Consider the following 16,198-nt stretch of genomic DNA (forward strand, 5'->3'; position numbering starts at 1 on the left):
GCCTCCCAAGTAGCTGGAATTGCAGACGTGAGCCACCACGCCCAGCCTTAAGGGACATTTTAAATTTTTTTTTTTGGCAAATTGTTAATGGCTTTTTGTAGATTTTGGAGTTTTGGGTTTTTTTTTTTTTCAGTTTTGAAAAGTTTTCTTTTAGCTTTCTGATATCTTTCACAGATACTCTCTCTGTTTGCCATTTGTCTATTGCTCTTAGTGTTTTGGCCATGCAAAAGTTTGTTTTTATTTAGTCATATAAAAAGATTTATAGTCTTATTACATCTAGAGCTTGAGTCATAGTTAGAAATCCCTTCTCTACACTCAGGTTATAGAGGAATTCACCCAGAAGCATTTTGTACAGCAAGCATTTATTTGTGTAACCCTGAGTTAAATAGCCACCTAATTAATTTTGATGGGATGGCTTTGGAGCCAGGATAGTAATAGAAATTAATAAAAATAGCAATTGACTCATAACAAGCTATAAACCTGGTAGAAGATGATCAGAAATCGAATCTAGCCTTCATAATTATGGTAAATTCTCATGATAGGGATTAGGGAGATGATTTTGTTCTTTGATGTTCATTCACAGCAAAATTGTATTTAAAAGTACATGCCAGCTGGGCGCGGTGGCTCACGCCTGTAATCCCAGCACTTTGGGAGGCTGAGGCCGGTGAATCACGAGGCCGGCGAATCACGAGGTCAGGAGTTCAAGACCAGTCTGGCCAAAATGGTGAAACCCCGTCTCTACTAAAAATACAAAAAATTAGCTGGGTGTGGTGACGGGTGCCTGTAATCCCAGCTACTCGGGAGGCTGAGGCAGGAGAATGGCGTGAACCTGGGAGGCGGAGGTTGCAGTGAGCCGAGATCGCACCACTGCTCTCCAGCCTGGGTGACAGAGTGAGACTCTGTATTAAAAAATAAAAAAAGAAAAGTACATGCCTGTTGCTGATTAGAGCTTCGACGTACCTAAAGTGCGGAGTCAGATTCAGTACCTTCTCCACAGAGTTTGCATTGCAAAGTGGAACAACTCAAATTTTGTTTTGTGTGTTCTGCATGTTGAAAATGTACATGTAAATGCTTGTGAGTACTTATCACATGAATCTGTATTTCAACTGCTTAGTTTATGCGACATTCACTGGGCTTGCTATGGCAATTAAATACAAAAGCAATGCTTTGTTAGAGTTGCAGTAGCTTTAGCCATTGAGAACCTGGAAGCCAGGTTGAAAAAGGCCAAAATGGGTGCAAATCAGCTCCCAAACTTTACTGTGAGAATTATTCCTCAGACCCTCGCTCAGATTCTGTTACTTTTACTACATATGCAGTCTTTTTAGATTGGATTTTCTGATCTCATAGATATCAGAATAGAGGGTACTGCTGTCAGTAGATAGCAGGGTACTGTATCAGAAAAGAGGGTACTGCTATAAGAAGCATACACATCAGTCTAGCCAAAAATAACAGCAGACAGCCTCTAAGCAAAGGAACAAAAAAGAAAACTACAAAAGATAAATGAAAAATTAAAAAGCAGGAATTCTGGATTAAAGTAGAATAGGGCTAATTATAGTAAACAACCACATCTTAGTGGCTTTAGGGAAGCATGTGATAAAATAGTTTGTAATGTAAATCTTGGTCATTATTAGAAGTCTCAGTTATATTCACAAAAAAGTGTATTATATACTTTTAGAAGTATTTTATTTTCATCAAAATTATGAAAAGATTTTATATGTAAAGAGGGGTCGTTACTTCACAGTAGTAATAACAGCAAATATTCAGCCCTGTGATTTACATGTGGAATTTTATTTAATTCTCCCAGCAACCCCGAGGCTGACATAAGTAACAGTAACCCTGAGATACCATTTTCCTAACCTAAAACTCCAAATGAATAACCATTGTGCCTTTCTAGATCTGAATTCTACAAACACATTGTGCTTTCTGGAGGGTCTACTATGTATCCTGGCCTGCCATCACGGTTGGAACGAGAACTTAAACAGCTTTACTTAGAACGAGTTTTGAAGGGTGATGTGGAAAAACTTTCTGTAAGTATTAGTAAATCAACTATTACTAACATTCTTTTAAAAGGCTATACAGTAGTTTGTGAATCTTGACAACCACCAGAGGGAGCAAGACGTCTTCCAAAACAAATTCCTACTGCAGTCAAGTGCATCCTGGAAATGATAGCAAGAAGGAAATAGTTCAAGATAAGCTCTGGTCACCTCTATAGAGTTGGTGGATGGAGGCAGTGAGGTCAGGGCCAAAAGTTCTGGTTCATCTGTAACAACCAGCACGGACTCTGAGGCACCTGTATATGCATGAGAAGAACCTGCTGTACTATAGGGAAATAAATGCCCCACTTGAGTTTTGTTCTTTTTTTAAACTTATTTTTTGGATATGCAATCAGCCTTCAGCACTTCTCTTGGGCTATCTCATATTTCTGACTTTATTTGTTGCATATGTTGTCTTCTCAGTCAGATTGAAAAACATCATGTCTCAAAATTTTTTGCATTCCGGTGACTGTCATAACTCTTGAAACAGACTTTAATTGGTTGTTGTTGGTATGTACAGTAGAAAGAAATTTTTAAACTAGAAATAGTTGATGTTTCTTTGGCATAGGTTTTTGTGTTTTTTCCACCAGACTCTGGACTATGTGAAGTATACAGTATGTGCTGTATACTTAACCAAGAGTTATCTAATCCTGAGTTAATCTCTGAGCTTTGTCTCACTGACTTTGATCAACTGTTTTAGATAATGAGATTATGTATTACAGAGTACTGTATGTTACATCTTTCATATATGACTCATTGTTGAAATTAAATTGAGTATGGGCTCACATACATTAAACAGATTAACAGACTGGAAAGGAGCCATACTGTCTAAGTACTTCACTTATTTTTCTGATTTTATTGAGTTTTACATATAATTTATAATTAATCTCAGGTGATCATTTATTCAGCAAACATTTCTTGAACTCCTGGGTGCCAGACATAGGTCTAGGTGCCGGGGACAAACAAAACAATGAAAACAGAATCCCTGCTTTTAGTCTAAATAATGTATTAGTGGTAATAAGTGATATGAAGAAAAGTAAGGTGAAGAGCTGGAAAATGTTAGTGGTTGGGGAGGTAGTGTGCTCCTTCATAAACTGTGATCAGGAAAGGCCTTTTGGATGAAGTGACTTTTGATCAGAGACCTAAGTTGAGCGTGAGAGGAGTGAGCCTTGTGACTGTCTGGGGGAAGAATCTTCCAGGCAGGAAAAATGCAAAAGCCCCAGGTTGGTGGGAGTGTGCCAGTGTGGCTGGAGCAGAGTGAGCAAGGGAGGGGGGCAGGTGGGATATGAGGTCAGAAGGGTAGCAGGAGGGCAGGTCTTGTTCAGCCATGGTAAAGGGTTTGGCTTGACTCCTGGTGAAATGGAAAGTCTTGGGTGTGGGGGCGGTTTAAGCAGAGAAATGATAGGATCTGATGTATATTTTTAAAGGATCATTAAGTCTGGTGTGGTGAATAGACTCTTGGGGGAAGAGGGAACAAAGGTGGGCATAGAGAGACCAGTTAGGAGGCACTGAGAGGAGGGGAGGGATGGTAGAGTTTTAGAATAGAGGAGGAGGTTGAAATGGTTGTTTTGGAGAATGGAAGCGAGAATAGAGAAATGTAATAGGATTGCCATGCAGCAGGAAGGGCTCAGTTGAGGTTAGTGATACATTATAGCAAGATGTTTTGTTTCTTTCCTATCTTGTTCAGCTGCTTGACAGCAGGTGCAATTTGTCTGTAGGAATCTGTAGATGAGTTCAGCAAGGAGGGAGTGGTAGATGGAATGATCTGATAGAATGAGTTTCAGTGGGGCTATGGAGTTTTAGGGATGAGCGAGATAGAAGCAGCAATGAAGAGCAATAACTCATATTACCAAACCTCCAGGGTTAAGGTAGTGTGTGAGAGAGAAACAGTAAAGCAGTTGAGGTATTTACAGAAGCAGTGTCTTCAGGGGCTAGCTAAGTTTCCCTTAGAGTAGAGGTGGTCATCTATAGCCCTTATGCCAAAACTGGTTTGTTTGTTTTTTTTAAGTTTTATTGGAACACAGCCAAGCCCATTTGTTTACATAATGTTACCTGTTGTCACATATTGTCTGTGGGCACCTTCTAGCTACATGTGGGGTTGGGTACTTGTCACGCCTACAAAGCCTCAAGTATCTGGCCCTTCACAAAAAAAGTTTGCTGACCCCTATGTAAGAGCAAGAAAGTAAAAGGAACAATTAAAACAGTCTCAGAATTGGTAAATAAACTGATGTTTTTCTTTATCTTGGATTGTTAGAACCCTTACAGTTCATTTATGTGACATAAATATACAAATGATTTAGAATGACATAGTTACATTGGGTCTTTTTTGCAGATCGTGATACTGTAAATGAAAAACTTGCTATGTCATTTTAAGGTTTCTCTTTCAGGTGTTGACCAACCATAAAGATAAGGATGTGTCCTTCCTAGACACTTAATAGTAGCTACAGAGTATAAAACTTTTCCCAATTGCCTTTAATTTTGGTTACTGTGTTCATTTTCTCATAACATCCTGATGATTTGTTTTGACCATATTTGGCCTTGTTTATTTTAAGAACATTTCATTTGATTTTGAGACAATAGAAAGTAAGCTTTGCTTAAAAGAAAAGAACTTCAGTTTTACTCTATTGCCCTGGACTAGAATCATAACAGTATGAGACCTTGAAGAAGTCATGCAAGTCCTCTTTTTTTTTTTTTTTTTTTTTTTTTTTTGAGATTGAGTCTCTGGGCTCACTGCAAGCTCCACCTCCCAGGTTTACGTCATTCTCCTGCCTCAGCCTCCCGAGTAGCTGGGACTACAGGCACCCACTACCATGCCCGGCTAATTTTTTTGTATTTTTAGTAGAGACGGGGTTTCACTGTGTTAGCCAGGATGGTCTCGATCTCCTGACCTCGTGATCCGCCCGCCTTGGCCTCCCAAAGTGCTGGGATTACACTTGAGCCACCACACCCAGCCATGCAAGTCCTCTTATCCAGACTTTGCTTGACAGCAAAGTGACTTTCCCAAGTGGTCATCTGCCATTGGATGGGAAATTTGCTCTAATTATGTCTTGGATGTTTGGTCTCTCAGTAGGGTGTTAAGTCATGTAATTTACTGATCAAATTAGGACACTCAAGAATGGAAAGGGTGGTATTAATAATGATGGGACACCACGTGTAAATCAGGACTGTTCCAAGCATGCTGGGATGGATGTGTGGTCTCCTAAACATGAGCTTTGGGCAAATTACTAAATGTTTCTGTACCTCAGGTACCAAATATTACGTTCTACTTATATTACAGGACTGTTGCAAGTTTGAGGGAGAGCATATATTTAAAAAGCCATTTTCATAAAGCAGAAAGCACTGTGCACATGTACCATTTCATTATCCTTTCTTTCTCCTTTAGAAATTTAAGATCCGCATTGAAGACCCACCCCGCAGAAAGCACATGGTATTCCTGGGTGGTGCAGTTCTAGCGGATATCATGAAAGACAAAGACAACTTTTGGATGACCCGACAAGAGTACCAAGAAAAGGGTGTCCGTGTGCTAGAGAAACTTGGTGTGACTGTTCGATAAACTCCAAAGCTTGTTCCCGTCATACCCGTAATGCTTTCTTTTTTCCTTTATTGCCAATCTTTGAACTCATTCAACTCCAGGACATGGAAGAGGCCTCTCTCTGCCCTTTGACTGGAAAGGTCAAGTTTTATTCTGGTGTCTTGGGGAAGCTTTGTTAAATTTTTGTTAATGTGGGTAAATCTGAGTTTAATTCAACTGCTTCCCTACATAGACTAGAGGGCTAAGGATTCTGTCTGCTGCTTTGTTTCTTCTAAGTAGGCATTTAGATCATTCCTATAGGCTTCCTATTTTCACTTTACTGCTCTAATGCTGCTAGTCGTAGTCTTTAGCACACTAGGTGGTATGCCTTTATTAGCATAAAACAAAAAAAACTTTAACAGGAGCTTTTACATATTACTGGGATGGGGGGTGGTTCGGGATGGGTGGGCAGCTGCTGAACCCTTTAGGGCATTTCCTCTGTAATGTGGCGCTTTCAACTGTACTGCTGCAGCTTTAAGTACCTTAAAGCTTCTCCTGTGAACTTCTTAGGGAAATGTTAGGTTCAGAACTAAAGTGTTTTGGGTGGGTTTTGTTGCGGGGGGGAGGGTAACAATGGGTGGTCTTCTGATTTTTATTTTTGAGGTTTTGTCAACTGGAGTACGTAGAGGAACTTTATTTACAGTACTTTGATTTGGCAGGTTTTCTTCTACTTGTGCTCTGCCTGGAGCTGTTTCCATATGATATAAAAAGCAAGTGTAGTATTCCATTACTATGTGGCTTAGGGATTTATTTGTTTTTTAAAATCAACCATGTTAGCTGGGATTAGACTCCCTACAGTCCTTCAATGGAAAAGTAACATTTAAAAATCCTTTGGGTAATTCGAATTACAGATTTAAAAGAGCTTAAGATCTGGTGTTTTGTTAATGCTTCTGTTTATTCCAGAAGCATTAAGGTAACCCATTGCCAAGTATCATTCTTGCAAATTATTCTTTTATATAACTGACCAGTGCTTAATAAAACAAGCAGGTACTTACAAATAATTACTGGCAGTAGGTTATAATTGGTGGTTTAAAAATAACATTGGAATACAGGACTTGTTGCCAATTGGGTAATTTTCATTAGTTGTTTTGTTTGTTTTGATTTGAAACCTGGAAATACAGTAAAATTTGACTGTTTAAAATGTTGGCCAAAAAAATCAAGATTTAATTTTTTTATTTGTACTGAAAAACTAATCATAACTGTTAATTCTCAGCCATCTTTGAAGCTTGAAAGAAGAGTCTTTGGTATTTTGTAAACGTTAGCAGACTTTCCTGCCAGTGTCAGAAAATCCTATTTATGAATCCTGTCGGTATTCCTTGGTATCTGAAAAAAATACCAAATAGTACCATACATGAGTTATTTCTAAGTTTGAAAAATAAAAAGAAATTGCATCACACTAATTACAAAATACAAGTTCTGGAAAAAATATTTTTCTTCATTTTAAAACTTTTTTTTAACTAATAATAGCTTTGAAAGAAGAGGCTTAATTTGGGGGTGGTAACTAAAATCAAAAGAAATGATTGACTTGAGGGTCTCTGTTTGGTAAGAATACATCATTAGCTTAAATAAGCAGCAGAAGGTTAGTTTTAATTATGTAGCTTCTGTTAATATTAAGTGTTTTTTGTCTGTTTTACCTCAATTTGAACAGATAAGTTTGCCTGCATGCTGGACATGCCTCAGAACCCTGAATAGCCCGTACTAGATCTTGGGAACATGGATCTTAGAGTCACTTTGGAATAAGTTCTTATATAAATACCCCCAGCCTTTTGAGAACGGGGCTTGTTAAAGGACGCGTATGTAGGGCCCGTACCTACTGGCAGTTGGGTTCAGGGAAATGGGATTGACTTGGCCTTCAGGCTCCTTTGGTCATAATTTTAAAATATGGGAGTAGAAAACAACAAAGAATGGAATGGACTCTTAAAACAATGAAAGAGCATTTATCGTTTGTCCCTTGAATGTAGAATTTGTTTTTGATTTCATAATTCTGCTGGTAAATGTGACAGTTAAAATGGTGCATTATGTATATATATTATAATTTAGAAATACCATTTTATAATTTTACTATTCCAGGGTGACATAATGCATTTAAATTTGGGATTTGGGTGGAGTATTATGTTTAACTGGAGTTGTCAAGTATGAGTCCCTCAGGAAAAAAAAAAAATTCTGTTTTAAAAAGCAATCTGATTCTTAGCTCTTGAAACTATTGCTACTTAAATTTCCAATAATTAAAAATTTAAAATTTTTAAATTAGAATTGCCAATACTTCTACATTTGAGAAGGGTTTTTTTAGAAATACATTTAGTAAAGTCCCCAAGACATTAGTCTTACATTTAAACTTTTTTCTTTAAAACATGGTTTTGGTGGTTAACTTTTACACAGTTCTGAGTACTGTTAATATCTGGAAAGTATCTTGAGATATCAGTGGAAAGCTAAACAGTCTAAATTAACATGAAATACTTCATTTTGATTGAGAAAATAAAATCAGATTTTTTCAAAGTCAATTTGAATTTTGTCATTTCTTTCTAATAGTTATTTCTTGTTTCATTTTCTTGTTAATGCAAGATGAATTGACAGTTTATGCTAGTTGTTAGGTCAAGTTCATGTCAGTGTTCTATTATTGACAAAACAACTCATTATTTCTGGTATGATTTTATAAATACATAAGAAAATAGAATAGCGATTTATAGCTACATCAGAGGCTGTTTTCTTCCAACAAACTGTTTTGTCTCCCAAAAGATTTAAGGTGGCTTTCACAGAATTAGAAATGCTAAAGAGACCTGTATGTAACATGCCCCCTTTCAAGGACATATTAGCTCATCTGCAGACTTTTAGGCATATTATTTTTAACAAATAAAAGAAGGATGAAAATACATTTAACTGACCTTTTCTTGTTTTATACTAGCCTTGAGGATGAGGGCTGGAGAGTAGAGAGAGTATTTTTGCCTTTCCTTCTTCGTGGACTTGTATGTGCAAACCTCATTGCCCGCTTCAGGGCCGGAGTCCCAGACAGCGAACGTAAGGGTTGTCTCTGGTGTTTTATCTAGTTTCTTCTGAGTTGCGGAAGAAGAATATGATAACAGCTATCTCCATATGTAATGGAGGAAGAAAATACCAGGCACTGCATAGTGCCTTTGATGGAATGAATGTCTCTCAGTGCACTTCATTTTTTTCCTCCACCCACAAACTTTGACCATTATACAATTGAGTGAGTTTATTAACTGTATTAATTTTAGAACCATCAAAGAGGGTAGCCAACTAAAGTGAACCAGAAACTCGAGGATTAATCTAAACTCGATTTTTTCTTTCTTTTGAGACGGAGTTTCACTCTTGTTGCCCAGCTGGAGTGCAATGGAGCGATCTTGGCTCACCGCAGCCTCCACCTCCCGGGTTCAAGCGATTCTCCTGCCTCAGCCTCCCAAGTAACTGGGATTACAGGCATGCGCCACCACGCCCGGCTAATTTTGTATTTTTAGTAGAGAGGGTTTCTCCATGTTGGTCAGGCTGGTCTCGAACTCCCGACCTCAGATGATCCACCCGCCTCAGCCTCCCAAAGTGCTAGGATTACAGGCGTGAGCCACCGCGGCCGGCTAAGCTCAATATTTAACATGCTCTCTAACCTTGGACTAATTGGCCAACTACACACAATACTGGGATACTTTTTTCCTCTGGCTCAAAAATCTCTGACCTCTTTGAAGATTGAAAAATGCTACATCAGAGGTAAGTGGAGGAGGTAAGGGGACGTACCTGGGAAAGCATGTTTGCATGTGTGAATAACTAAAAGGCTAAAATTAGTGACTTTAACCATTATATTGAAAGTAACTTTTAGTCATAGAATAGAAATAAACTTGATTTAGAGGAGGTGAAAATAGGCAGCTATTACAAAAATTTCAAGTGATGTTCACATTAATATAACATTTTAAAAACATTCTAAAGCATCTTTCTTTGTATTGTTTAACATCTGAAATTAGGAAGAAAGAAGCTATTGAACCATAGTTACTTTTGTTTAAATTATCTAGACTGGCAGTGACAAAAAGTCTTGTTGCCTATTATAAGTGTCTCAGTTTGCGTTATCTGCAGATGTAAAATATCTGAGTAGGGGGAATTCAAATGATTTATCTCTTCCTTTTGGCAGAATGGAGTTCCTGTCTCTTTCATATCTACCCCCTCAACTCCTCCCACCCACCAGAGGAAAAAAGGAAAGACTGGAAAAGACTTGGCATATAATTTTCCATGAAACATTTGACGTAGGAATAGAAGAATTAGAGAATGTTGAGTAGATTTTCATGGACCAGTTGAAAGGTTTGGGTTTGGCAAGTGCAGAAAGCAATCACAAAGGTATTACAGAGTGATTCTTATGCCCAGGGTAGCCTTTAAGAACTGTACCCTTTGCCATTCACAGCAAGTGGAGCTTTTGCCTGATGAATGCTTTAAAAAATCGGTAAAAAGAAAACTCCAGTGAGTAAAATATTTGTTCTTCCTTAAATATGGGTTTGAAAAAGGGCCTCAACTCTCAAGGATAAGGATTTTTAAAATTATACTTTTTGTGCATAAAAGTGTAATTACGACCGGGCACGGTGGCTCAGGCCTGTAATCTCACCACTTTGGGAGGCTGAGGGGGGCCAGTAACCTGAGGTCGGAGTTCGAGACCAGCCTGACCGACATGCAGAAACCCCGTCTCTATTAAAAAATACAAGATTAGCCAGGTGTGGTGGCACAAGTCCGTAATCCCAGCTACTTGGGAAGCTGAGGCAGGAGAATCGCTTGAACCCGGGAGGCAGAGGTTGTGGTGAGCCGAAATTGTGCCATTGCACTGCAGCCTGGGCAACAAGAGTGAAACTCCATCTCAAAAAACAGAAAATGTAATCATAAAAATGTGAATGCAAATGCATTAATATCAAAGGAGGTTTTAAGAAATTAGGGAAATTCTAAAAGTCTGCCACAATATTAATTGGATCATTTTAAATGAGTATGTTTATGTGAGTGCCTTGATGTTCTGTAGGGGTTGAGATTTTTTTCGAGGTGTCTGTGCACAAGAAAATTAAGCGATCTATTTTACTTTAGAAAACCAAATCTTGCTGGGCATTGTGTAATCCCAACAATTTGGGAGGTCGAGGCAGGCGGATCACTTGAGGTCAGGAGTTTGAGACCAGCCTGGCCAACATAGCAAAACCTGTCTCCACTAAAAATACAAAAAATTAGGTGTGGTGGCGCATACCTGTAATCCCAGCTACTCAGGAGGCTGAGGCAGGAGAATTGCTTAAACCCAGGAGACAGAGGCTGCAGTGAGCCAACATCATGCCACTGCACTCCAGCCTGGGCAACAGAGCGAGACTCCATCTCAATAATAATAATATATAAAAATCTAAGGGTTTCCTGAGTTGTTAATTCTTATATTTTCATATTTTCTTATGTTTACATGTATATATTCTTATATTTTTATATTTTGTGACAACTTAGTGTTTGAAGAGTAAGAAATTTGGGCCTAAATGAGGCTCAGTTGTTAAATTGATAATACACATTTGACCCCTTTATTGGAAACCTACAATTTACCTCCAGATGTGTTTTTTTTTTCCCTGCTAACTTAGATCTACATTTGAAAGCTTCTGGCATTAATTAATTTTTATTTAAGAGCTATTAGGAAGGAGTGGAACCTAAACTATGGTGACAATTTAAAGGACCTTGATTCAAAGAATCAATTAAGGAGGCTGTCCTCTTTGTTTTGCTTTTACTTAGTAGTTTAGGTGGAATTCAAGCAGATAATATTCAACCTCTAAGTTCCCTGCTTACACAACTTGGAATTCTAAAGGAGTCTCTAAAATGAAAACATCCCACAGGAAGTGATGTAGCTAAAGTATGATTATCTGTATTTTTAAAACAAATTACTTGTCCTTCAAATGTCTTTTTCAGTATGGGGTCAGAATCACATGTTCCTTTTGTTAAAAATGCAGGCTCTTAGGCGGGGCGCGGTGGCTCACGCCTGTAATCCCAGCACTTTGGGAGGCCAAGGCAGTGGGGGATCACCTGAGGTCAGGAGTTCGAGACCAGCCTGATCAACACGACAAAACCCTGTCTCTACTAAAAGTACAAACCGGGCATGGTGGCGGTCGCCTGTAATTCCAACTATTCCTACTCAGGAGGCTGAGGCAGGAGAATGGCTTGAACCCAGGAGGTGGAGGTTACAGTGAGCTGGGATCAGCCACTGCACTCCAGCCTGGGTGACAGAGCGAGACTCCATCTTAAAAAAAAAAAAAAAAAAAAAAAAGCAGGCTTCCTTGAGCCCCACTCTGGACCACCGAATGGAGCCTGAGGGTTTGCTTGTTTTCCAACTCTTCCCCCACAACTCTCATACTCCTGTTTTAGGGGCTAAGAGGACAGTCAGGCTTCAAAGTATGAACCACTCTCCTGGGCCCACACCTGCAATGCCCTTCTTTCCTCCTCTTCCTGGGGAAAACTAGGGCTTTTAGCAGATGGGTTCAGAAGTGACACAGGAAGCAGCCCTGGGAAGCCGGAACCACTTAGAGACCATCTTTTGCCAGTGTGCTGACCTCTGCTCCACCTCCCCCAAATGGATCTTCAGTTCAAATGGATGATAAACACCTTTTCATTAAAAAGGCCAGTTCTGGGATGGTTAAAGCACCATCAGTCATTTACACATCCATTTGTATTAAAAGGAAATCCAGAGACTCACACTGACGCCTAGGGGAGATTAGCAGCTCTTTGTGATGTAAGTGAAAGGAAGGTCTGTAACTTTGGCCTAAGGAGTGCATTGGAGAAAATTGGTAGGTTCCTGAGGAAATTCAGTTTTTAGAGCAAGCTCACTTTTTAGGGCAAGCTCACCTTGGTAGATGAGAGTTGAGTGCTGGAAGTGGTAAAATAACCAAAGCAAACTGCTCATTTCAACATTCCTTTCTCCTCGCTTCCGACTTGCAGTGTTCCAGCTTCCTGAACTCAAGCTAGTACAGCTAATGCTACAAGTTTAGCTGCTTGATACATGAAAGTGATTTATAATCAGGCCAAGAAACCAACCTACCAGATGTAGCTTTACTTTTAGAGAGCATGTATGTATTTCAAGTTCTATGCAACTGACAAATGAACTTTTGGATGCAACTTGTTCAAAAGTGGAAGTATTGAATTGTTTATGGTGACCAACAGTCCACACATTAATGACTGCTATAATTATGTTTCTTATGATATCAAAACTGACATGGTCCCCTAATACAGAATGCAGTTCATAATGTGGATTTGGGGAGTGCCAGTGTTCACCATTTGTGTTTTTGAAACACAAGGTATAGGTGGTGTGAGGAAAACTATCTTCTGACTTTAAGCTACTATTTTTTAAATGGTATGACAACTTTATGTTGATTTCTTTTGGTTAATCCGACCAGTCTTAGTGTTGCATGAAAATGATCTTCATCATTTCCATTTCATAGCAACTCTTTTATGCCTTAAACATTTTTTTTCTGTTCATACCATTCAAAAGAAGCTAAGATTTGTGGTGTGAGCCAACACAAATCCTCCCTCAGGTGCTTTAATAACAGTAAGACAGGCTTCCTTGAATATCCTAAATGAAAGCTTTGTTTTGTTGCACTTTTGAACAAATACGTGAAGAGAATGATTTATGTAATGAAATTCCATGTTTTAAGAGTCTAAAGAGGATTGGATTTATGGTTCTTCCACCCCCATCCCCACCATTGAAACTAGAAAACTTGTGACTTTGGCCCAGATCGCAAAAACCTTTGCTGCTCCCAAGTTCCCTGAACTGTTAGGATAAAATAGAATACTAAAGAGTACCTTAAACTCAGAAGGCATGATTTGCTAACTGTCAACCTAAACCAAATGGCAGCTCACACCACTAGCTGATTTTATTCAGAAGATAGGGCTAAAGGAGAAACTTTTCCCACTAAATTTCAGTACAGTTACTACTTTCAAGAATACACCCTGTTTTCTTCAGGCTCTGAGCTTGTCTGCTGAAATAATTAGCTGTGAGGCAGACAGGGAAAGAATTGCATCTGCAAAAAGCAGGAAGACAAGGTCAAGAGAAGAGGAGGCAGCTTGACTCACAGCTGCCCACCCTGCAGAGGAGCAGAGCTTGCCAAGAATATCCACATTGATTTATGGAGAAAAAATCAGGAAACCATTCACCCCAGATAGCTTGGATTTGTGACAATATCAGTGTAAACGATTTCCATTTAGACTGTGAATTCCGAGTCTCCGTAGGTGCTCCATTTTTTCCCACCTTCGCCCCTTCTCCGAGCATTTCTAGCAACACTCGGGCCAGTGATTCTCAAACTTTGGGGTGCCTGAGACTCTCTTGAGCTAGTGACAATGCAGATACCTGGCTCCACTTCCAGAAATTGAGGTGACACTCTTAGGAAGGGGTCTTTTGCACTTAGAAAAATGTGAATCAGAAACCAGGGAAATTTTGTAAGAATTAAGCTACAGACTAAATGATATTAATAAAAAATCTTGGTATGTTTGTACAGAAGGTTTCACTTAATTAGGAGTTTCCTAAGAGAATGAAGGCAAAGGCTTTTCCGCCTGGGGACTCTTGAGACTCTTCGGGCTTACTCTCCAGGGTGCCACTGTATACCTTGAGAAAACTGCTGGCTTGCTTCATTCTTGTGCCTAATCTTGCTCACAAAGGAACATGCTACCAGTCTCATCTGCTTCCAAAGGGCTTTGTTTCAAATCCCTTTTGGAAAAGGGGTGCATTTTTCTGCCTTGGTTTACTGCCTTTTGGAGAACAAGAATGCATCTCAAACGTGTTTATTGAACTTTTAAAGTTCCTTGACTTTCTGCGGGCAGAGCCAACCATGGTCTTCAGACCCTACGTTAATTAAGAGAGCTAAAAAGGAAGCAATGAGAACAACAGCGAGGACACGACAAAGCTGTAAGGTCACCATTTATGAGTGTCTGTGAAGTGCCAGGCACTGTACCTTAAGCATTTGCCAGCATTCTCACTTAATGCAAGTAGGAATTATCACCACTTTGTAGATGAGGAGACTGAGACTTAAGAGGTAAAGTAACAAGAACAAAGACTCAGAGCTAAGAAGCTGTAGAGCCAGAGTGGGGCTCAAGCATCTTCCTGACTATACAACCGTTGCTTTTCCAACACCCATTGATGGCTCTGTGTGGTGGTCATTGAGCCCTGTCCTATTTCAAAGCCTTGATCAGTTTAGGAGGCTGTCTTGACCCTGCGCCTCATCACAGGCCTTGGGAAAAGCACTTGTCCTTTGTGTGCCTTAATTTAACTCAGTGAGTCAAGTGCCCCAAGCCTGGAGTGGTTGGCGTCCCAAGTGCCATTTGAAAAGTGCTTTGATATGAAGTGCCCACAAGGGCTTGCTCTTCTGTTGATAGCAAACCATTTCCATGAAGAAACTTAAGTGGAAGCTCTGGGAGTGAACGAGTGAAAGGAGTGTTGGCTACAGGCATTTGGATCCAGAGGAGCTTGTCCCACTTTTAGGAGTGATCAGTTGAGGCTTTTTTCCCCTTGGTAGGTTTAATTTTTGACCAGCAGGTGTACACTGTGGTCCAAGGCCCCGGATTTGGCTCAGAGCTTCATAAATGAGTCAGTGGAGTTTATAAACTCTCCACTTGCAAGAGGAAGGCAAGAAATGGAAAGAATGACAGTTACTAAGGTTAGCAGTGGCCCCTGGAATCCAAGTGGCCCTTGAGAAGAACACTTGGGGAGGGGAAGCATTTGAATCACCTACATCTGCTAAGAACTTGTCCTGTGTTTTGGGAACGTTCTGAGAATGGCGACTACATGAGCTAGCTCTCAGACCAGCTGTCTTCAGAGGGGACCACCTAATGGGAGGCCGACCGTAGAGGCTAAAACATGCAAGTTACCGCCTGGGAGACGGTAACAACGCTTCCATGCAGAACAGCTGTGTGTTACTTTAAAAGCAGCTAATTTCACTATCTGAATTCAAGGATGTTTCCCAGATCTCCATGCTGTGAATAGCAGTGTTGTTTGAGATGGCCATTATTGCTTACATCCTCCTCGAGCCAGGAGCAGAGGGAGGAGCCTGGATCTGGGTCTCCTGTCCCACTGCAGCAAGAGGACATGATTAGTGGTTAGCCTATCTCTAAAAGCCCTGGGGAGCTGAGTGTAGGAAGGAAGGAAGGAAGTTGTGTAGGATAAACAAAACAAAGCAAAACCCCAAAAAGCCACAAGAAAGTACTTCAGATGTGCAAGAATCTGTAATTCACATACTCATGGGATAGTTGAGGGTTAGGACCTGGATTAAATGTTTTCACATGGAATGGGAATACCAAGAACAAAGCAACTGAAGAGTGGGGCGACTGGCTTGGTTTTAAAGAGTCCTGGAAACAGAGTCCTCTTATTGTTTCTGGATGTTTAGACACATCAAGGCCGACATATAAATTGTTTTAAAATAGTATCTGTTCTCAGTCTCACATGCAAAAAAAAAAAAAAAGGAAAAATATATCTAGCAAGTTTTACCATAAGATCATTGCTAATTTGCCTTTAGTTTCCCATGACAAGATTCAACAGTTTGATAATCTCGTGGAAAATAATTCACTTTTTAAGAAAATGTGGTTTAAAAGAAGTGAATATACTGATAACTATGAA

General features: G+C 39.7%; 1 protein-coding gene across 2 annotated transcripts in view, besides 1 other annotated feature; it reads left to right on the plus strand.

The window, feature by feature from the left end:
• ACTR2 (actin related protein 2) overlaps positions 1-8,105 on the plus strand; it is a 43,423-nt gene extending 35,318 nt beyond the window's left edge. For both annotated transcript variants that reach the window (NM_001005386.3, NM_005722.4), the window contains 2 exons: positions 1,895-2,027; positions 5,416-8,105. In NM_001005386.3, coding sequence (NP_001005386.1) covers positions 1,895-2,027; positions 5,416-5,586 — 304 coding nt within the window. In that variant the 3' untranslated portion in view covers positions 5,587-8,105. The remainder of the gene's footprint in view (positions 1-1,894; positions 2,028-5,415) is intronic.
• Positions 11,945-12,612: an enhancer, noted in NCBI's record as "OCT4-NANOG hESC enhancer chr2:65502227-65502894 (GRCh37/hg19 assembly coordinates)". NCBI's record gives its function as "activates a minimal SCP1, AML or CMV promoter by ChIP-STARR-seq in naive and primed H9 embryonic stem cells {active_cell/tissue: H9 hESC(naive and primed)}" and the evidence as "EXISTENCE:reporter gene assay evidence [ECO:0000049][PMID:30033119]".

The sequence above is a fragment of the Homo sapiens genome, chromosome 2 (genome assembly GCF_000001405.40).
Source record: "Homo sapiens chromosome 2, GRCh38.p14 Primary Assembly".
Lineage (NCBI taxonomy): Eukaryota > Metazoa > Chordata > Mammalia > Primates > Hominidae > Homo > Homo sapiens.